A 23,028-nucleotide genomic window follows, 5' to 3' on the forward strand; every position below is an offset into this window, starting at 1 on the left:
GAATTTTGTTTGGGTTTGATTGAATCTGGGGCAAACTGACCATCTTCACAGTTTTCAGGCCTTCTATTCAAAAAAGATTGTATATTTCTGATACTTGTGTTTTCTTTAGTGTCTTATCATTTTCCTCCATATGAATCTTTATTTTTTTCTGCTCTATTTCTTAGAATTTGGTGTTTTCCTCATTTTAATGATTTTTTCTTTTGTAAAATTGTTTTCTAGTTCCTGGCAAATAAAAATGCAATATATTTTTGAATATTTATTTTTATATCCAGCTACTTGGCTGGATTCTCATTCATTATGAAAATTGTCTGCTGGTGTTTTCAGATTTTCTTGTCATATCAGCTGGGAATAATGAAAGTTTGTTTCTTCATTTTGAAATAATTGTTTCTTTTATTTATTTTTCTTATCTTGCTCAGTTGGCTCCAGTAAAATTGGTATCTTAGACTTGCTCCTGATTTTAAAGAAAATGCTTCTAATTTTTCACCATTAAAATGTTTGCTATCTTTTTTTGTGGGAAGAGAGTCTGTATATTTTTTAGTTGCTTAAAGGTGTTATCTTCTATTTTTTATTTGTTGAAATTATTTTTAAAAATCATAAATGGATTTTTATTTTTATCACCTTTTGTTTCTATGTAAAGATGATCTTACTATGTCCTTTATTCTTTCATTCTGATGTTTAAAAGTGACTTACGTATCTTTAAACCAATTTGGTCATGATGTTTAATCTTAATCACTGCTAGATTTGATTTGTTAATATTTTATTGAAGAATTTTGAATCCATGTTCAAGGCATTGGTTTATATTTTTATTATGTTTTATAATTTTCTGTGCCTGATTTTGTTTTAAGGTTATGCTAGTTTGATAGGATGATCTGAGGACTATATGCTTCTGATTCCCATGGAGCTGTTTGTTTGATATTGGAACTGTACCTTTGTAGGCAAGTCTTACAACATATTTTGACTTTTGGGAGGGACTGCAGGGTAGACTTTTAACTCCCAAGTGTACTTAACAATAAGGGATTATCCAAACATTCTATTTTCTCTTCAGTTTTAGGAAGTTGTATTTTTCTTATAATTTATCCATCTTATCTAAACAGTCACATCTGTTGGCAAAAAATCAGTCGTAGTATTTTCTTACTCTCTTTCATTTCTGCTGGGTGTGTAGTTATGTCTGTTTTTTATTGCTTCTATCATTGATTTGTGCCTCTCCTCGCTTTCTTGATTAGTGTTGCCAGTTTTCTGTTTTACTTTCTTTTTATTTTGCCAACATCTGATTTTCATGATACTTTCTTGCCTCATCCTTTTTAGTTTCATTAAATTTTGTTCTTTATTATCTTTTCCTGTCTTTTTCTTCAGGTTTGTTCTGTTACTCAAATTTCTTAACTTGGAATGCTCATTCATTTTTAAGCCTTTATTCTGCTCTATTGGAATCACTTAAAGCTGTTAATTTCCTTGTAAGTATTGCTTAGATGTATCATACACAATTTTATATTTATTAGTTTCATTCTTTTCTATGCTGGTTTCTTCTCTGACCCTCCCCCCACCCCAAATCATGTTGGAATTTTTTTTTCTCCACATGGATGGGGATCTTATTTATTTTTAGTAATTTCTCACTTAATTGCATTGTATTGTTAATTGTTTTTTAAAACCATTTAGGATATCCAAAATTATTTCTTCTCTGTTTCTGAATACCATGTAATCAAAATTTTCTGAGAATGTAGTATAAAAGTACTCATAGATTTTATGTTAGAAATTGAGCATTTTATAAGTAAATTAATCATTTTGCCATGATGAAAAAGCTGAAGTTGAATAATGTTAAATAACTTAACCCAAGGGAGTGCAACCAAGAAAGTACATGAGGAAAATCAAGCCCATGTCTTGGACTGTGCTATTCTGATATTATTCCCTGGTATAACTAGATAAGATCTGTGTTATAGTGATAGTTGAATTTCTGGTACAGTTTTATTTCTGTTCTAACTTACCTTTTTGAATGATGAGATTATGATAGCAGTCACCTACAGAAATGTTACGATGATCCAGGATAAAAGAGTTAGGATTCAGACAATGGCCATAGAGAAAGGTAGAGACTTTAGGTCAGCTTGCATTATGATTTTTTTTTAACATTATTTTCTGTCTCACAATAAGAACCTACAATTGCCACTATCATTACCAGTAATTTCTTTTCAGCAGTAGTGGTATCACTCTTACATTATATACTTCAGCCCCAGAACATTTTTATTTTTTAAATAATTTCTGTGAATATCACCATCTATATAAGAGTAAGAGGGCCTAAATATACATAGGTAGTTTATATGAGTTAAGAAATATAGTAAGGAAAACTGTTCTAGTAATACTGAATGATATTCATATTTGCTCTGAAAAGTCAGTTGATAAGTGGGATTTTTGTTAACATAGGCATGATTTATGCCCTGAAATATGCTTCTCTTGTCTGGGGAAGCTTGAGGGAAGTTAGGTTCCTGTGGAAAATGAGACTAAGTCAGAAGTGAGAGTGGCTCCATTGGATCATGAACTCTAATTGGTGTGTCAGTAAAAATGCTAGTTTCTCGCCTACTTTTCTACATTAAAAAATGAATATTTTTATTCATTTTACAATGATATTATTAAAAAAATATAATAATATTTTTGAAGATAATGTGAATGAGTTTCCAAGGGGTGAAAAATGGTGACTCTCATTTAAAAAAAAATTTAATTACCACACATAACATTTTTTAAAACGAAGGCTAATTTCGAATAAATATTTTATGTTAATAAGGCCATGCTTTATTGCCAATGACACTCTTCCTTAAAAATTCTGCTGAGTATAATTAAGAAAATACAAGGACATATTCTTGTAATTAGGGATGACAAAGTCCTTCCCATGTAATACTGAAATTTAGGTAGTATAGTAGAAAAGATGGACAGATTTTATTAAATTAAAATGAAGAATGTCAATACCATAAGAGAGAAGGTGAAAATGTTTTAAAACTGGGAGAACATTTGTACAATAAAACAAAACTTGATAGGCTTACCTTAGAAGGGTATTGACAATTTACAAAATGAAAGCTCATGTGGATATGGCTAGAGGAAAGGCTAGTATAGTATTTTTGTGAGATGTCTGAATGGAATTCTGTATTTTAAATGGAATGCAGTTTTATTATTTTAATATTATATTGATGTTAACTAGTTTATTTTTTAACCAGTGTGGTCCTTGGGTTTCTTATTAGGAAATAATATATTTTAGTGAATCTGTTTAATAGAGGTTTATTTTAAAAAACAGTATTTGTACATCTTAGTCTCTTAATGTTAAATGCCCTAAAAATTATGTTTTTTCCTTGTACCTCTCATTAATTTATTTAGTAAATTGTTGTTGTGCACCAGCCATTTTTTTTTTTTTTTGCCCTGAGAAATAGATAGGAAAGAAAAAGTCTAAACCTTAAAGGAGCCCGCAAGCTTTAACCCAGCTCTTACCCAAATCATCATAAATCCTGAATTGGTAGAGCAAAAATTCATGAGGTAGACTGGCAGCAGTGCCTAACAAATTTCCCTTGGGAAAACAGTAACAGATTTTTTATTTTTTAGAAAAGAAAGTCATCTCCTTTTTTTACTATTAAAATTTCAAATTTAAATATTCACATCTTACGAAGTATTCTCTTAGTGTAATAGACAGTGAATGCTGTGAGCTTGAATTACTGGGAAATTAGTATTTTAATTATTTGTGTCATTTATATAAGTTAAAGGTATCATGTGTTAACCATGTCAATATTTTGAGAAATTTGAAAATCCCAAATCCCAAGAGATCATTGCCTTTCAGATAGACTGCCAGCTTTATGAAAGATGATTTGCATAATGATATAAACAAAGCATTTTGTAGTACATTAATGTAAAATAAATGTCTTCAAATATCTGTCCTCACTGTGTTTAAGTTCAGAATCCTAAAACATTGCTCCTTTTGAAATATGAAAGCAAAAATTCTCAGTATTTCCTAACAGTGTTACTTATCATGGTCTATTGAGCCATTCATTAGAGACTTAAGTAGCTAACCTGATTTTAATTTTATAGGATGATTCATAGAAAGACTCACATTCTTGTGCATACTTATAGCATATTTCATTGACTTCAAAATGCTATTGATTGCAAGATGCACAATGATTTTATGCATCCTTTAGCAAGGAGAAAAGTCACTGCCAATTAAGTTATGACACAGTGCTCTTATAATTGATTAGAAGATGCATCCTGATTTTAGAGGGATTAAAATGTTTTTTAAAATTTGTCTTACATTATATTAAATACATATTTATGTCCACTGGTACATTTTTTGACAAGAAAGATAAAGTATTTAAGGTAATGGCATATGGATTTGAGCTGCTTTGACAGAATCCCTGAGGACTGTGAAAAACAAAGAAATGAATCTTATCCTAGAGGCTCATTTGGGGATTCACGGAAGAGTGGTATGGGGAGAAAAACCCAGGTTTTGTTTGTTTCACTTTGCTTCTTAGGTAATTGACTTCATGCCATATATCTGAGTATTTTCTATATAAATAATGCCACAGAGTGACTTATAAGGATAATATGTGTTGCTGTTCATCTATTTAGGCTTTTCCCCAGGTTTGCTACTGTATTCTCTGTATGAGACCAAAAAGAAAGAAAGAGATAAGCTTGTATATATTTTGCCTACGTAGAGATTTGCTCTTTTTCTCATGTTTCCTCAGAGAAGAGAGCAGACATGTTGCATAAACCTGAAGAATATAATTTGAGGGCAGAAATAGTAGAAAATAAAAGTGAGAGGAGGCAGATAAATTGAAGACAGATAAAGAACTGGGAGGAAGTCTATAAAATGAATTTAAAAAATTAAAAAGCAAAGCATGGAGATAACAAAGTATTTAACCAACAATATGGTGTTCTTTTATTGCTTCACTGTGCAAAGGGTATTTTGTGGAGCTATGCTATATGCAGGAAATTTATCAAACTTTGAAGGATGTAGCTTAGAATTTTTCCCTGACCACCAAGCAATGGGGTATAAAATTATTTTATTTAAGAAAAGCGTTGGAAGTAGCAAATAAGATTCTGTGGATGAGTGGGAAGGGCAAGAAGAGGACTTAAAAGCATTGCAATGAAAACAAATGTATGTAGTAACATTCATGCATGGCCTGATCTGCGGTGGGAGGTGGACTGCAGGAGCCCGAGGAGCAGACGCTTTGGGAGTCCAGCCCACTGTGAAGGAGCAGGAGCCAGAGGGAAATGTCACTGAGTTTTTTTTTTTTTTTTGAGACGGAGTCTCGCTCTGTCGCCCAGGCTGGAGTGCAGTGGCGGGATCTCGGCTCACTGCGGGTTCACGCCATTCTCCTGCCTCAGCCTCCCAAGTAGCTAGGACTACAGGCGCCCGCCACTACGCCCGGCTATTTTTTGTAGTTTTAGTAGAGACGGGGTTTCACCGTTTTAGCCGGGATGGTCTCGATCTCCTGACCTCGTGATCCGCCCGCCTCGGCCTCCCAAAGTGCTGGGATTACAGGCGTGAGCCACCGCGCCCGGCCTCACTGAGTTTTTGGCCTGGAGGAGTGTGTTTATTTCAGCAGGCCCACCCCACATCATGTAGTTAGCCATTTAGTAACTGTTTAACATGACCCTTATATGTGAAGAAAAAACGTGGTAACATAGATGCAACTCACTTCTCCACACCCTCACCCTCTCACCTCTGCCTGGGGTCTCCTCACATCTTCCCCTATACAGTTTTGCCCACAGTCATAGCACAGCACTTACTACAGTTCTTAGTGCATGTAGTAGGCATTTGACAAATGTTTATTGAATCGATGATGGATGGTAGAGGTGTCAGAAAGGATGGATTCCTTTACTTAACAGGCAGGATTTGTAAACAGTGCGTTATTATTGCTTTGATTTCTTAAGTGTGGTTAGATATGTAATCTAGATTGCTTTTCTGAAGTAAGTTGTTTCTTTTGTCATATTAAATTATCTAATGCAGTGATGTATACAAATAGTTTGTGTATGTCGTCACAAAAATAAAAGGTTCCTTCTTTAACAGCTCCAAATGAATCCTTTCTTATGACTTCATTGAATCAGGAAGACTCAGACTACTCTCAGTGTAGTTATTTTGTGATATCATAACATCTTTGTAAACCTGGTGGGAGGTTGTGATAGTGTGAAGAACTGAGGATTCCAGATTTCTGGTGTTAACACTACAACTCAAACGTCCTGGTGGTAGAAATGTTAATCAAGGGGAGTTCACATTTCCCTGTTCTGGTAATAGACAGTATTGCCCTGGATTTAACCTTTTCTTGCTGATGTAGGGTCAGTTGGAGTGCTAGTAAACTATCTGCTAGCTGGGGCAGGCTTAGAGGGGTTGGTTGGGGAGGGAGTTAACAATTTATAGCATTTTTCAAAGTGGTAAAAATACTCCCCACCATGGATGATTTCAACCTACCGAATGGTTGCGGCTTGCAGAATTCCTGAATATTTGTTTAGTAGTGGAGTGGTCCACAGCACACATTGCTTGGAAAAATCATTATCATACTATATTCTTGTGGATTCAGCTACTGTATACAGTAAGAGACAGACATAACACTGACTGGACGCTAATCCTAAGTTTAGAGATCCTAGAACTTTCTTAGAAAAATCACTGAAGTCTTTGGAATCTTTCTCATGAAAGTGGAGCAAGAGGATATAAATTTGAAAGACTCAGGGCAGAGAAATGTAACTATTATTCTGTAAACCTAGTGTTTTAGTTGAAGGCTGAATCAACCTTCTGCTAAGTGATTTTCTTAAACCTGTAAAAATAACAGCAGAATACAGGGTGAGTATCCCTAATCTGAAAATCTGAAATCTAAAGTGCTTCAAAATTGGAAACTTTTTGAGCACTAATATGATGCTCAAAAGAAATGCTCATTGGAGCATTTCGGATTTCAGATTTTCAGAATAGGGATGCTCAGCCGGCAAGTATAATGCAAATATTCCAAAAGCTGAAAAAAACATCAGAAATCCAAAACATTTCTGGTCCCAAGCATTTTGGATGAGAGATAGTATGTGTTTGGTTTTCTCATCAGTGTCAGTTATCTTGTTAGCAACATTTAGATTTTTGTCTTTCAGCTTTCTGCTACTTTTGTACAAACCATACTGTACAACATTAGAGCAAGTTATAAAAATAGAAAATGTATTTATTTCATGACACTTCACATCAGTTGTCACTTTTCTATTACCTTTTGTGCTAACCCAGCTATATCATAGCCAAAGAGGACCTGTGTTGAGTTACAAAATTGTTCTTACCACTTTCTGTGAAGTACTTGTCAGGAGTCAGGCAAAGTGCTTATTGAAAAGGCAAATAAGAAGGTTAGTATAACAAATACTCTAAGTATATACTTGGTTTTCTTCTCTTAGTGGAGTGTTTAAAAGACATAGTTAAGTAATGATAACAGTGTATTTTTGAACTGTAACATTTATAAATACAATATGTATATAACATGTATAAATACAATATGTATATAACAAAAGGAGGAAAAAGGAAAATAGAGCTATATAGGCATAATGTTGCCACATCTCACTGGAATTAAGTTAATATAAACCTCACTGGAATTAAGTTAATATAAATCTAAAGAGACTCTGAAGATGTGAGGTAAGTCCTAGAGCTACTACAAAGGAAATAATCAAAAATCTCTATAAATGAAAAAATTATTAAAGAAATTAAATATTACATTTGAAAATATTCACTTAATGTAAAAGAAAACATTAAAGGAGAAGTAGAGGAACAAAAAAAGACACAAGACATACAGAAAACAAAAAGTTAAATTGCAGGCACAAATTCAGCTGTGTCAATAATATCAATAATATGAATGGATTAAACAGTCTAATCAAAAGGCATAGATTGTCAGACCAGATTAAAGAAACAAGATCTGACTATACACTGTCTGCACTGGCACTCACTTTAGATCCAAGACACAAATATATTGAAAGTGAAAGGATAGGAAAAGATGTATCATGCAAATAACAAGCATAAGAAAGCTGGAGTGGCTATGTTAATATCAAAAGGGACTTCAAAATAAAAAATGTTACTAGAGGTAAAGAGGGACATTTTCTAATGATGAAAGTGTCAATCCATCAGGAAGGTATAGCAGTTATAAACATGTATCCACCTGATAATAGAGCCTTAAAATACATGAAGCAAAAACTGATAAAAATGAAGGGAGAAATAGACAATTCAACAATAACAGTTGGAGACTTCATTACCCCACTGTTAACAATGGATGGAATCTTCTAGACAGAAGGTCAGCAAGGAAATAGAAGGCTTGACTACCAACACTGTAAGCCAAGTAGACCTAAATACTCCACCCAAGAACAACAGAATACACATTATTCTCCAGTATACATGGAATATTCTTCAGGATAGACCATCACCTAGGCCATAAAACAGTTGATCATTAAATCAAAAAGAATTGAAATAATATAGTTTGCTCCAACTGCCATGGAATGAAATTAGAACTCAGTAACAGAAAAATGTACTGATGTGAAAAAATTCTTCCAGTCCCACATTGTCCCTAAGAGGAGGAGAAATGTCAGTCAGCAAACCAAACTTCTGTTGTACAAATGACACCAAGGCTTTCCAGACAAGTAGACTAGGAACATTGCTGTCATACTGATAACAGGTAATTCTGCATTTGAATTCCTCTACATGAGGAAACTAGCAAAGATAAGTGCCTCTGGAAATGTTTTCTTTGAAACAAAAATACAGCTTGATGTACAACTACAATTCCTCCAAGAAAAACCTCAAAGTAAAAAACATCTTCGTAAATATCAAGCAAGAAGCGCATTATTTGAAGATACAGAAATAACATTTGATCTCATTTTCTTAAGGTAGAGTCAGAGCATGTTAAGAGCTGAAACTTTTAGTACAGAAATACACTTGTGACCCAGTGTTGTTATGTTGTCAGTTCTTAAGTACATACTTATAAAATGATTTTGTTTTTTTATGTTTGTTTTATTTTAATAGTGTTCAGTCTACTTTAAATATTTTGTATTTTAATAATTAGAATAATAGCTTTTTAAAGAAAGTTATTTTAAAACATCAAATAAAATATATGTTTATGAGTTTTTTTATGAGAAGGGTATTAAACATTTAGTTTCACTGAAGCTAAAATACCAGTGTTAATCCCGGCCCTGTAGTATGATAGAAATATACATGCTGAAATAGTGGTGTAGCCATTTTGTCCTAGTATTGCAATTGCAACCAGCGATGGTGTTGATTATGTAATAATAATAATAATAATAATAATAATAATATCAACAGAAGCAATAATAATGAACTAAAATTGAAGTTCTGGGCACAATGCCAAGCTGTCTACATGCATTATCTCAAATAATTCTCACAACCCCATGAGGTGCCATTATCTGTGTTTTGCAGATAATGAAGGCTCAATAATAGAACTTACCCAAGGTCACATAGCTGAAGCGGCAGAGCCAGAACCTAGACCCTGGCTTCCCTGTCTTCAGAGCTCACCAGAGGACATATGTGAACAGTGATGATTTGAGAAAAAGTGAGCGGAAGTGGTAACTGGATGCAAGAGTCCAGGATAGTTTCTAGTTTAGACAACTGCATGAATGGCTGTGCCACACATGGAGACTTACTATTTTTTTTTTTTATCTATCTGGACTTAACTGTATTAGGCAGCTGTTATTATATTTAATATTCTGGAAAATTTAATATACGTTACTTGAAAGTTTTGAGTGTTTTTGAGGGAAGGAGAAGAGTATTGTGTAGGTCTTCAATAGTGTATTCTTATTTTCTTCCTCAGAGACCTGTTAAAGTTTTTGCTTTCTTGGGCTAATTTTATTTATAATATAAGTTAAATTTTATGTGTTATTCAGGTTGTCTAAGTTAAAATAGAATACAATATTCTCATAATTTTAAAGAGTTTCTTTTAGTTTTCCATTTGTGCAAGTTTGTTGTGGCAAATTCTTTCAAGTGTCATATATTAGAAAAGGTCTATTTCACTTTCATTGTTGGAAAATATTCTTGCTGGGTTTGGAAGCATAGAAAATCTAGCCTGGCATTTTATTTTCCTGAGTACATTGTTGGTGTAGAGGTGTCACTCTATTGCTTCTTTGAAGGTAATCTGGCTTTTAAAAATTACTAGTAATTTTAAAAATTATTTTTAAGATTTTGGGCCTTGTCTTTGACTTTCATAGTTTCAAAGTGATGTGTACAGGTATGATTTCTCTATATTTGTCTTGCTTGTGGTTTAGAGTGCTCTTGAATCTGTAGATTCATGCATTTCATTCATTTTTAACAATTTTTAGACTTTATCTCCTTACATATTGCCTCTGCCTCATTGTGTATCTTTCCACCTTCTTTGTTTTGTTACTTTCTGGATATTGTATCCTTTGGTCTCCTAATACTTTATTCTGTGTTGTTTTCATCTGACTTATTCTCTCTCTCTCTCTTTCTCTCTCTCTCTTCGTTTCTCTCTCTCTCTCTCTCCTTTTCTTTCCTTTTTTTTTTTTTTTTTTTTTTTTCTGAGACAGGGTCTTGCTCAGTCATCCAGGCTGATATAAGCTCACTATAGCCTCAACCACCTGGGCTCAAGCAATCCTCTTGCCTCAGCCTCCCAGGTAGCTGGAACTGAAGGCATGCACCACTGCACCCAGATTATATTTGTTTTTTGTTTTTGTTTTTGTTTTAGAGACAAAGTCTTGCTATATTCTTCAGCCTGGTCTTGAACTTCTGGCCTCAAGCAATCTTCCTGCCTCAACCTCCTGAGTAGCTGGGAGTGGCAACCTCTGTGAGCCACTGCACCTAGCAACTGTCTTTTTCAGTTGTTCTAATCTAAATTTAAATCTATCTTAGTTCTATTATGGTATTTTTTTCAATTCTGTAATTTATATTTGGCTTTTCAAATATGCTGTGTCTCTTTATACTTCCAGTTTTCTGAAATTTTCAGTATTCTTGTCCTTAAGTAAGCACATTTATTTTAAAGTCTTTGTGTATTCATTCCAATATATTGGACCCCTGTAAATCTGTTTATAATGTTGGTTCTTTCATGTTGAATTCTTTTCTCAGATGCCTGGTTATCTTTGAATATATGATGGACATTTTATTTTAAAAATTATAGAAATGTTTTAAGCCTAAGTTGACAATATCTTCCTTCAAAGAAGATTTCAGTTTTCTTCGCCAGGCTTCTAGGAGAACTGACAATCTAAGATTCATCTTAATTGAGTTTTAGAGTGTGAGATTTTTGGGGCCATTGAAAGTGAGTTGCAGTTTATGTGAAGCTTGATCTTTATGCAATTTTCCCTTATTCCTAGAATGAAGCCCTTTAGGTTCTCAGCTGAAAACATGCAGGTTTTAATGCGGACTCCATGCATGGCATGCCCTGGATTCTGTCATTTGTACCTTTATAGCTCCTTTAGATTGTCAGAACCGCCCAGCCTTTTAGCTGCTCTTTTGAATAGACAAACCCTCCCTAATCAAAAGGAGCCCCAGCTACTGATCTCCCCTGTTTGGACTTTTATCCTCTCCAGGATCTTGGCTCAGTAACTTTTCACTATCTTTTTATTGCTTAATTGCCTTCAAGCTGATCATGTTTATATTTTGTCTAGGTAATCTGTTGTCCTGAGAGGAGGATCATCTGAATTACTTAATTACTTAATTCTTAATTACTATAAGTCCCTTATAAAAGTTCTTTATACATTATCATATTAACCTTTGCCTTACATGTTGCAGATACTTTCTCAGTTTCTCACTTGCTTTTTAAAATGAAAATTACATACACACACGCTCTCACACAGACACACTCCTTAGTTTTTATGTATTCAAATTGCTTTGCTTGCTTTTTTGCTTAGAAAGTGTAATCCCAGCCCAAGGTGAGCTAAATATTTATTCCTATTTTCTTATTCTTTTTGTGGTTTTCTTTCTTACATTGAATTATTGAACTTATTTTGGTACATGCTGTTTGCTTAAGATCTGTTTCTACTTTATCATCCAGTGTATGAGACTTGAATCTCTTTTCCCAAAAATTTTGAAATATGGCACCTTTTTCATTTACTAAGTACATATATACATATATATATACACATATATACATATATATACACACACATATATACATATATATACACACACACATATATACATATATATACACACACACATATATACATATACATGATAGGGCCTTTTTATGTATTTTTGGTTTATCCATTGATCTGATCTTGAGAAAATATTGTCTTAACCATTTAATATCTTTTCCATGAAGCTGTCTTTACATAATTTTCTTTCAGCATTTTATTGTTCAATTTAGAGTGATTATTTTCTCAAATGGAGATTGGAGGCATGTTACATTTCTTAAAAGAGTAAAATTTTTTATTGTTTGAAATTTTATAAAACTTGGATATTTGCAAATTGACGTACTCAAAATATTATTTTTTTTCCGGGGGATGGTGTGTTTCTTTATTATGTAAGCCACTTTTAAACAAAAACTCATACTGAAAACTTTAAAATTTTCTGTATGTTTAGAATTTTCTGTGCGAAATTATTTCATGGCATTTTAATATTTTTATTAATATTAGTCGAAGAATATTTTCCATTGTATTTTCTAACTAATCATTTATGGCATAAGGAAAAAGACTGATATTTGTGTGTTTCTGTACTGAACTCTTCTGTTAGGTATAATAGATTGTCAGTGATTTCTTATGGGTTCTCTAGGAGACCATTTTATTATCAGGAAATAATGCTATTTTCCTTCTTACCGTCATTTATATTTCATTGATTTTTATTCTTTCATTGTGTTAGTTGAATAGTCTACAGAAGTGATTAAAAATAAGTGGCCATTGCAGGAATCCTCTTATTATCCCAGACCTCAGAAGGAGATTTTTCTAGGATCTGGCTTTGAGTATTGCGTATCATTGGCATGAGAGATATTCTTTATCGTATTTTCTTAGTTTGCTAGTTTTATTTTGATTTTTCTAATTTCTCTTGTGACTTTCTGTTTGACCCCTGGGCTGTTCAGAATTGTATTGATAACTTTCTAAATATTTGGAGGTTTTTCAGGTATCTTTCTGCTATTTCTAGTTTAATTTTGTTGTGTTCAGGGAACATACTTTCTATGTCCTCTTAACTTTTTTGAACTGCATACTTTGTTTTAAAATTTAAGTAGCCAATAGGCACTGTACCTAGTGCTCCTTGAATATGCATACCCTAGAGATGCCATGGGTTTAGTTCTAGACCACTGCAGTAAAGCAAATACTGCAATAAAGCAGGTTACGTGAATTTTTTTTATTTCCCAGTGCATATCAAAGTTATGTTTACATTATACTGTAATCCGTGTAAGTGTGCAGATGAGCATTGGCTTTCATAGCATTATGTCTAATAAAACAATGAGAATACCTTAATTTAAAAAATATTGCCAAAAATGTGAATGATCATCTGAGTCTTTATCCAGTCATAATCTTTTTGCTGGTAGAGGGTCTTGCCTCGATGCAGATTGCTGCTGACTGATCAGGGTACTGGTGGCTAAAGGTTGGGTGGCTGTTGCTGTGTCCAGAATTGGTGGGTTCTTGGTCTCACTGACTTCAAGAATGAAGCTGCGGACCCTCACGGTGAGTGTTACAGTTCTTAAAGGCATGTGTCCACAGTTTGTTCCTTCTGATGTTCGGATGTGTTCGGAGTTTCTGCCTTCTGGTGGGTTCGTGGTCTCGCTGGCTCAGGAGTGAAGCTGCAGACCTTCGTGGTGAGTGTTACAGCTCATAAAGGCAGTGTGGACCCAAGAGTGAGCAGCAGCAGGATTTGTTGCAAAGAGTGAAAGAACAAAGCTTCCACAGCGTAGAAGGGGACCCGAGCGGGTTGCCACTGCTGGCTCGGGCAGCCTGCTTTTATTCTCTTATCTGGCCCCACCCACATCCTGCTGATTGGTAGAGCTGAGGGGTGTGTTTTGACAGGGCGCTGATTGGTGCGTTTACAATCGCTGAGCTAGACACAAAGGTTCTCCACGTCCCCACCAGATTAGCTAGATACAGAGTGTGGACACAAAGGTTCTCGAAGGCCCCACCAGAGTAGCTAGATACAGAGTGTCAATTGGTGCATTCACAAACCCTGAGCTAGACACAGGGTGCTGATTGGTGTGTTTACAAACCTTGGGCTAGATAAAGAGTGCCTATTGGTATATTTACAATCCCTGAGCTAGACATAAAGTTTCTCCAAGGCCCCACCAGAGTAGCTAGATACAGAGTGTCAATTGGTGCATTCACAAACCCTGAGCTAGACACAGGGTGCTGATTGGTGTGTTTACAAACCTTGAGCTAGATACAGAGTGCCGATTGGTGTATTTACAATCCCTGAGCTAGACATAAAGATTCTCCGCGTCCCCACCAGACTCAGGAGCCCAGCTGGCTTCACCCAGTAGATCCTGCACCAGGACTGCAGGTGGAGCTGCCTGCCAGTCCCGTGCACTGCGCCCGCACTCTTCAGCCCTTGGGTGGTCAATGGGACTGGGCGCCATGGAGCAGGGGGCGGCGCTCATCGGGGAGGCTTGGGCTGCGCAGGAGCCCACGGAGGGGGTGGGAGGCTCAGGCATGGCGGGCTGCAGGTCCCGAGCCCTGCCCCGCAGGAAGGCAGCTAATGCCCGGCGAGAAATCGAGCGCAGCGCTGGTGGGCTGGCACTGCTGGGGGACCCAGTACACCCTCTGCAGCCGCTGGCCTGGGTGCTAAGCCCCTCATTGCCCGGGGCCAGCAGGGCCGGCCGGCTGCTCCGAGTGCGGGGCCCGCCAAGCCCACGCCCACCCGGAGCTCCAGCTGGCCTGCAAGCGCCGCGCGCACCCCCGGTTCCCGCTCGCGCCTCTCCCTCCACACCTCCCTGCAAGCTGAGGGAGCCGGCTCTGGCCTTGGCCAGCCCAGAAAGGGGCTCCCACAGTGCAGCGGTGGGCTGAAGGGCTCCTCAGGTGCCGCCAAAGTGGGAGCCCAGGCAGAGGAGGCGCCGAGAGGGAGCGAGGGCTCTCAGGACTGCCAGCATGCTGTCACCTCTCATTGCCATTTCTTTTTATTTTTTATTTTTATTTTTACTTTTTTTTGAGACAGACTCTCGCTCTGTCGCCCAGGCTGGAGTGCAGCGGCGCGATCTTGGCTTACTGCAAGCTCCGCCTCCCAGGTTCACGCCATTCTCCTGCCTCAGCCTCCCGAGTACCTGGGACTACAGGCGCCTGCCACCACGCCCGGCTAATTTTTTAAATTTTTTTAAATTTTTTGTTAGTAGAGACGGGATTTCACCATGTTAGCCAGGATGGTCTCAATCTCCTGACCTCGTGTTCCGCCCGCCTCAGCCTCCCAAAGTGCTGGGATTACAGGCGTGAGCCACAGGGCCCGGCCGCCATTTCTTAAAGCAGTGAAGTTTGCCACCTTGACTTTTACTTTCATGAAAGATTTCTCTGTAGCATAGGATGGTGTTTGATAGCATTTCACCCAGAGTAAAACTTCTTTCAAAATTGGAGTCAGTCCTCTCAAAGTCTGCCACTGCTTTATCAATTGTGTTTATGTAGTACTCTAAATCCTTTGTTGTCATTTCAGCAGCGTTTACAGCATCTTCACCAGAAATAGATTTCATCTCAAGAAACCACTTTCTTTGCTCGTCCATAGAAGCATCTCCTTATCCATTCAAGCCTTATCGTGAGATTGCAGCAATTCAGTCACATCTTCAAGCTCCACTTTAGTTCTGCTTCTCTTGCTGTTTCCACCACATCTGCGGGGACTTCCTCCACTGAAGTCTTGAATCCCTCAAAGTCATCCTTGAGGACTGGAATCTGCTTCTTCCAAACTCCTGTTAATGTTGCCATTTTGACCTCCTCTCATCAATCATGAATGCTTTTAATGGCATTTAGAATAGTGAATCCTTTCAAGAAGGCTTTCAATTTGCTTTGCCCAGCTCCATCAGAGGAATCACTGTCTATGACAGCTATCACCTTATGAAATGAATTTCTTAAATAGTAAGCCTTGAAAGTAAAAATTACTCCTTGATCCGTGGGCTGAAAAATGGACATTGTATTACCAGGCATGAAAACAACATTCATCTTCTTATACATCTCCATCAGAGCTCTTGAATGACAAGGTTTATTCAATGAGCAGTGATATTTTAAAAGAAATCTATTTTTTCTGAGTAGTCACTCTCAATATTGGGCTTAAAATATTCAGTAAACCATGCTATAAACAGATGTGCTGTCATCCAGGCTTTGTTGTTCCATCTGTACAGCACAGGCAGAGTAGATTTAGCATGATTCTTAAGGGTCTTATGGATTTTCAGAATAGTAGATGAGCGTTTGCTTCAACTTAAAGCCACCAGCTGTATTAGCCCTTAGCAAGAGAGTCAGCCTGTCCTTTGAAGCTTTGAAGCCAGGCATTGACTTCTCTCTAGTATGAAAGCCCTGGATGGCATCTTCTTCCAATAGAAGGCTGGTTTATCTACATAGAAAATCTGTTGTTTTCTGTAGCCACCTTCCTCAGTTATCTTAGCAAAATCTTCTGGATAACTTGCTGCAGCTTCTACATTAACACCTGCTGCTTCACCTTGCCCTTTTATGTCATGGAGATGGCCTCTTTCCTTAAATCTCTTGAGCCAACCTCTGCTAGCTGTCAGCCTTTCTTCTGCAGCTTCCTCACTTGTTTCAGCCTTCATAGCATTGAAGAGAGTTAGGGCCTTTCTCTGGGTTAGGCTTTGGCTTAAGGGATGTTGTGGCTGGTTTCATCTTCTGTCCAAACCACTAAAATTTTCTTCATATCAGCAATAAGACTGTTGTGCTTTTTTGTCGTTCAGGTGTTTCCTGGAGTAGCACTTTTAATTTCCTTCAATAACTTTGCCTTTGCATTCACAACTTGGCTTACTGGCTGGTACAAGCATCCTAGCCTTCAGCCTATCTCAGCTTTCAACACGCCTTCTTCAGTAAGCTTAATCATTTCTAGCTTTTGGCTTAAAGCTAGAGACATGCAACTCTTCCTTTCACTTGAACACTTAGAGGCCCTTGTAGGCTTATTAACTGGCATAATTTTAACATTGTTGTGTCTTGGGTAATAGGCAGGTCCAAGGAGAGGCAGAGAGACGGGAATGGCCAGTTGATGGAGCAGTGAGAACACACACACAACATTTATTAAGTTTACTGTGTTACATGGGCACAATTAATGCAGCCCCAAAATAATTACAACAGTAAAAACAAAGATCACTGATCAAAGATCACCATGACAGATATAATAATAATGCAAAAGTTTGAAGTATTGCAAGAATTAGAAAAAATATGTCACACACCAGAAGTGAGTGCATATGTTTGGAGAAATGGTGCCAAGACAGACTTGCTCCATGCAGAGTTGCCACAAACCCTTAATGCAAAAAGCACAGTATCTGCGAAGCTCAACAAAGCAAGGTATACCTGTATTCATTTTCTTTTGCTGCGTAACAAATTCCTACAAACTTAGCAGTTGACACAGTACTTACTGTCTTGTGGTTCTGTAGGTCAGAAGCCTGACACAGGACCTGGCTATAATGATGATGTCAGCAGGTCTGTCTTCTGGAGGCTCCAGGGGAAATTCTGTTTTCCTGCTTATTCAGGTTACTGGCAGAATTTAGTCCTGTAGCTGTAGTCATCATGTTCTTGTGAGCTGTCAGCTGAAGTCCATTCCCAGCTTTTAGAGGCTACCATGTTCTTTGGACGGGAGCTCTCTTTCTCCGTCTTGAAAGCCAGCAATGGCAGGTCAGGTCTCATTTCCTGTCTCTCTCCTGCCTCTTCAGTTGTTCAATACCTCTGACTTCAGCCCTAAGAGATTCTCCATTGTTATGGGATTGTGTAATTAAATTTGAAAGAGTCCTGCAGTAACCGAGGATAATCTCCCCATCTCAAAATACGTAACCATATCACATTTGCAGCGTCCCCTTTGCCACATTCAGAAACATTTACAGGTTCCAGAGGTTGGGGTGTGGCCATTTTATAGGGCCATTATTTCACCCACCATGCTGCCATATTGGACAGTACAACTTTACACTGTATTATCTTTTAAACGGTGAAATTTTGAAGTGATAAAATTCTTAAAGTTCTTTTTATAATTTTATTATTGTCATTTTCAGAGCTCTTCATTTATATGTATAGATCCACATTTAAGTTTTAACATTTCAGTATAGGCCTGAAGACAACGAATTCTCTCAGCTTTTGTTTTTCTGAAAAAAATCTTGCTATGGCCTTCATTTTTGAAAGCTAAATTATTTCTCAATATGAAATTCTGGGTTGGACAATTTTTTTTTCTTTCAGTAGTGTAAAAATATCACACCATGGTTTCCGTTGAGAAGTCTGCTTTAATTTTTATCTTTTATTCTCTGTGTGTAATGTTTTTCTACCCTCTGGCTGCTTTCAGGATTTTCTCTTTATCTTTGGTTTTCAGCAGTTTGAATATATTGTCTAAATTCTTTTTCTCCCTTTTCTTCTTTTTCTCAGTATTTTTTTTATTCTTTATGCTTATTCTTTCGTATCATATTCTTAATCATCCTAGTTATGGGTTATTTAGGCTTTTTGGATGTATGGTTTGTTGTTTTCATTATTTGGGGAAAATTCTTGGCCATTATTTTTTTCATGTATTTCTACTACCCTGTTTATTCTTCCTTTTCCTGCCGGTTCCTTGTGCTTATGGCGGGGACTGGGACTCTGGGGGCTTTTCTCAGTGCTAGTGCCCCTGCTCAGCTTGCAGCCTCCTGCGCCATAGGCTGGGGGAGTCCCTGCCCACCTCCTCACCGCCCCCCTAGCAGTGGGCTGCTGCTGCTTCCCCCACAGGGCTGGGCTTCTGGATGGGGTGGGGAGGGGAGGGTTGCTCCATCTCCTGGTCCAGCCTCAGTCTTGGCGGTCCCTGTGTTTCCAGCCCCTCCCCCATGGCAAGGGACTGAAATTTTATTGGTGTGGGATTTTGGTCTCAGGACAGTTTCCTGCCTCCCCTGGGGTAGAGGGTGTCCTCCTCTGTTCTTCTCCCGGCTGCAGGGTGTTTCTGTCTGTCCCTGTGGTGACATCTGCTGCCCTTTCCCTATCAGCTTAAAGCCCAAGGCTTTGCTCAGGGGGAGGAAGCTCTCAGGGAGAGTTGGCTTCATGCCTGTCCACTCTGCTTACACGCTTGGGGCACTTCTCTGGCCTCGTCCTGCCCCTCATGTGAGCACCTGGTGCGGGCCCATGTTAAAGAGCCTGTAAGTGAGTGTGGACTCCCTCAGCCCATCCTAATTCAAAGGCAGAAGATACACATGTAAACAGGCAAACAGGGCATTCTAGATTATGACTGTAAAGAAGGGTGGGGTGGGCAGGACAGGGACACCGACCTTAGGTAGAGTGGAGGAACAGCCCAGAGGTAACACTGGTGCGGTGAGTTGAAGGTTGAAAATGACCCTGTCATCTTGAGAGTTGGGTGTAGGGAGGGCTTTTCATGCTGAGGAGATGGCAAGTACAAATCCCAGGGGCAGCAACGAGATGGGGCAGTTCGAGGAGGAGAAAGTTTACCGCAGGCTGAAGCGGAGTGAGTCAGGGGAAATGGTGTAGAGGGAGGTTGGAGAGTTGTGAGTCAGATGTCCCTGCAGTCTTTTGGCCATGTTAAGATGCTTGAATTACATTGCATGAGGAATGGGAAGAACTTGGTGATGATCTGAATGTAGCTTCCTTTTGCTTGCTAAGTGAATTCCAGTCTCTTCTGCTTTGTGTTCAAGGCCTAGAGTAACCTGGTTGTAGAATACCTTTTCCATCCTATCTCCCACTCTACTAATAGATGAACAGCAAGGTTGGCTTCCTGCTCTTAGGTGAGTCTTATGCATTTTCCTGCTCACCTTGTCATGCTGTTCCCTAACTGGAAAGGACTTGTCCCTCTCTGCCTGTCTCTGTAGGCTTTAGTCAGATGTGCTGCTGCCACGAAACTTCTCCCAGGCATTTCCTTACCTCCATCTTCACCAGTTGTTCCCACATCTATGTGGTAGCTTCTTGAGTATACCTGTTTATCACACATTATTTGTTTAATTTGTTTAATTAATTTTTAAATTTGTTTTATTTAATTAATTTTTCTGTCTTGTATCTTTATTCTGGTTCTCTCTGCCAACTTTCACTACCTGTTTATAAACACACTCAACCCTCCCATATCCTAAAGAAGACTTCCCTTGCCCTCCTTTCCCCTGACTCTGACGTCTTGTCTTTCTCTTTTACTTTACAGCCATATCCCCAGGAGAGCGCCTGTATTTGCGGGCCCTGCGCGTCCTCATGCCCTCCTTCACTCCTTACTGGTATATGATAGGGTTTTTACCTCCAGAACCCCGCTGACACTGCTTTCAGAGATAATGATGTCTTCCTAGTCCCAGTGACCACCAAGCCCAGGGACCTCTTGTTAATTTTCATCTGTGTATCTGAATGTGATATTCAACACTATTGGCCACATCTTCCTTTTTAAAAGTTTCTAAACCCCCACTTCCTGGCTGTTCCACTATCACATGTTTTGTCTCATCTTTCTGATTTCCCCTTGTTTCTTTTTGTTTCTAGCTCACCCCTAAGTGTAGGGATTACCCATCCTTCTCATGTCAGACCTCCCCTCTCCACAGCATATTCTCTTTGGCTTATCATTTATGTCCTTTTACAAAAACAGCTCTCACCGCATATTCCCAGATCTGTGCCTCTAGCCCAGACCTCTCTCTAGAGGGAAAAAAAAAGAATGTGCACGTACACTTAATGTATCATAATTTTCATATTGCTGTGTAATCTTTGTAATTATTTTAAATGGATGTATAATGTTATGTTAAGTGGCTGTGCCATAATTAGCCTAACCATTTCCTATTGAAAATTTCTTGTCCTGAATTTCCAGCTACAGTTTACAATTCTGTGCATGTATATTGAGTTTGAGATTGATGCCTGAGTTCAGGGTAGCATTTTAACTCTTGCACAAACTACTGAAAAAAGCCTTCTGAATGGCCTCCTGGTCTGATCTCTTGACCTTCTGGCCGAGCATGATCTCAATTGTTAGAAAACAGGTACTACTTATGTTCCTAAGGCCCAAAAGAGATCTGAAGTTTTTCAGCTGACATGTCTCTGAGTAAATCTGAAAAGAGATTTATTTGGAGGTTCACCTTCAATCAAGACAGGATTTTAAGCACACTCTGAGCTGTGGTTTATCATCCCTACTACTTACCATAAGAATATGCTTTACCACACTTTATTGGCAACTAAGATGCACTCTTGAGCCTTTTAATCTGTTTGCTTTTAATCTGTTACTCTCTAGAAGTAATCCTGAAAAACAGCTGACAGTGATATTTCAAACTCGTTGGTGCTCTTCTTCAAAGAAACATAGAAGCCCTAATAAATAGATTTGTGCCTTGGAAAATAAAGTGTCAGTGACTTCACATAGAACACAGGAATCTTAACTTATACTTCCCCAACTATTCTTTTTTTTTTTTTTTTTTTTTTTTTTTAACAAAGTGGCCCCTGTGGTCTTTCTAAGCTGTTCTTGACTCCCTAACTGATGAAGAGTGCTGGCTTTCCTTTCGAAGCCCAGGTCAGTGGTCTGACAGGGGCAGTGCTGCTGATTTTGGTCCCTCTCCTGAGTGTGCTTTGTATCTGTTATATGAAGTCGTGTTTGGATTTTTGATGTGTTGATACCTCAGAGTTTCTGCTTGATTTTCAGTCATTACCGGTAGCACACTGACAAGTGGGAGAATACAGTTTTCAGTGGCTGCCTGACTCCTATTTTGAATCTTTCTCTTCCCTTCCCAATCTGACTGTAAGTTCTCCCTGTGTAAGGAGAGAGGGTTGTGTTTCAATGCTGGTGTACACCAAGTATGTCTAAACTTAGTAATGGTAAAAACAAACATGCAAAATGACAACATTTCTGGAATCAGGGTGGTGAATAGAAGCCAGTGTACTTCCTCTGAGGCAGAGGCTCGCGGGGGGTGCTGGTTGGTGGGGTTGGTGGGGAGTGATCACATTGCATAAGCTCCATGTGAATCCTTGGGCTGCCTTCTACTGCTTGGTCTTTCTCTTTGTGTCCTCTAATGTATTTTATATTTAATTCACCTTAACAACAAATTGCCTTTAAAATGATGGAAAAGCACAAGTGCTAATGGTGAACAGCTGTCTCCTCCTTCTCTTCATACCAATTTTATTTCTGCTTTGAAGCACTATGGTCTATGCATCCTCTTGACTATGTTGTAGATATAGCCACAAGGTTTGATGATTGTGCTCTTTTCTATAGATAAGAGGACAAGAGAAAATAACTCCAGTCACTCTTTAATAGATAGATTTAAAATTAATCAAGATGAGGGTAAGTTTAAAAAACTATTCCAGGTATTTCATTATCTGAAAACCCAAGGGTCTGCTGCCTTCCACTCTAGGGCCTTGGTTCTCGAGAGAAGGTATTTGTCTATAATTCCTAGCCTGATGGTTTAGCTGCCCACTCTGAGCTGTTCAGCCCCAGATCTTGAGAATCAAGGGGTGGAGAGTGAAAAATGTATGGAGAGGCAGGCACCTTGCTTTCACTTCCACCTCTAAAATGATAGTGCAGTATTCTTCTCACATATGCCTGCCATCGTCCTTCTGTTTGCATCTCTCACATCCCCTCCACTAGCCTCTCCCCTCCTTACAATAAAAAAAAAAGTCCTTGAATTTAGACTGATCCAAGGTCCAGGGTCATCTCACTACCTCCTCCCCTCCCAAGCACCAGTGGTAGAGTGGGCTTTATCCCTTGAACAAGGACAGTGAACCTGTTAAAGAAAGAAGATCCAACAAAATCCAGAAGAATGAACACAACTCAAAAAAGACTGTCAGGAGTATGTTCTCAGCTGAGTGCTGAGTGAGATCACCATTCCCCATGATCTCAGGCAGTAGAAGAGCCTTGAGAATGTGGAAGACAGGCCCAAATTCTGCCTTAAAGGAAATATTACTCCAGAAACACAAGTGTTTTTAAGTGCAGAACTAAAGATCATAAATGTATTTAAGCAAGAGTTCAAACTTAATATGAGACAATAAAATGAGATGAAATGGGAAATATGGAACTAAGGGAAT

General features: G+C 38.1%; 1 protein-coding gene across 18 annotated transcripts in view, besides 2 other annotated features; it reads left to right on the forward strand.

The window, feature by feature from the left end:
- HIVEP1 (HIVEP zinc finger 1) overlaps positions 1-23,028 on the forward strand; it is a 204,356-nt gene that overhangs the window by 86,245 nt on the left and 95,083 nt on the right. The gene's annotated exons all lie outside the window — the stretch shown is intronic.
- Positions 5,393-5,892: an enhancer, noted in NCBI's record as "H3K4me1 hESC enhancer chr6:12099563-12100062 (GRCh37/hg19 assembly coordinates)". NCBI's record gives its function as "activates a minimal SCP1, AML or CMV promoter by ChIP-STARR-seq in primed H9 embryonic stem cells {active_cell/tissue: H9 hESC(primed)}" and the evidence as "EXISTENCE:reporter gene assay evidence [ECO:0000049][PMID:30033119]".
- Positions 20,393-20,442: an enhancer, noted in NCBI's record as "active region_24007". NCBI's record gives its function as "activates an Ori minimal core promoter by ATAC-STARR-seq in GM12878 lymphoblastoid cells {active_cell/tissue: GM12878}" and the evidence as "EXISTENCE:reporter gene assay evidence [ECO:0000049][PMID:35858748]".

This window comes from Homo sapiens, chromosome 6, assembly GCF_000001405.40.
Source record: "Homo sapiens chromosome 6, GRCh38.p14 Primary Assembly".
NCBI lineage: Eukaryota > Metazoa > Chordata > Mammalia > Primates > Hominidae > Homo > Homo sapiens.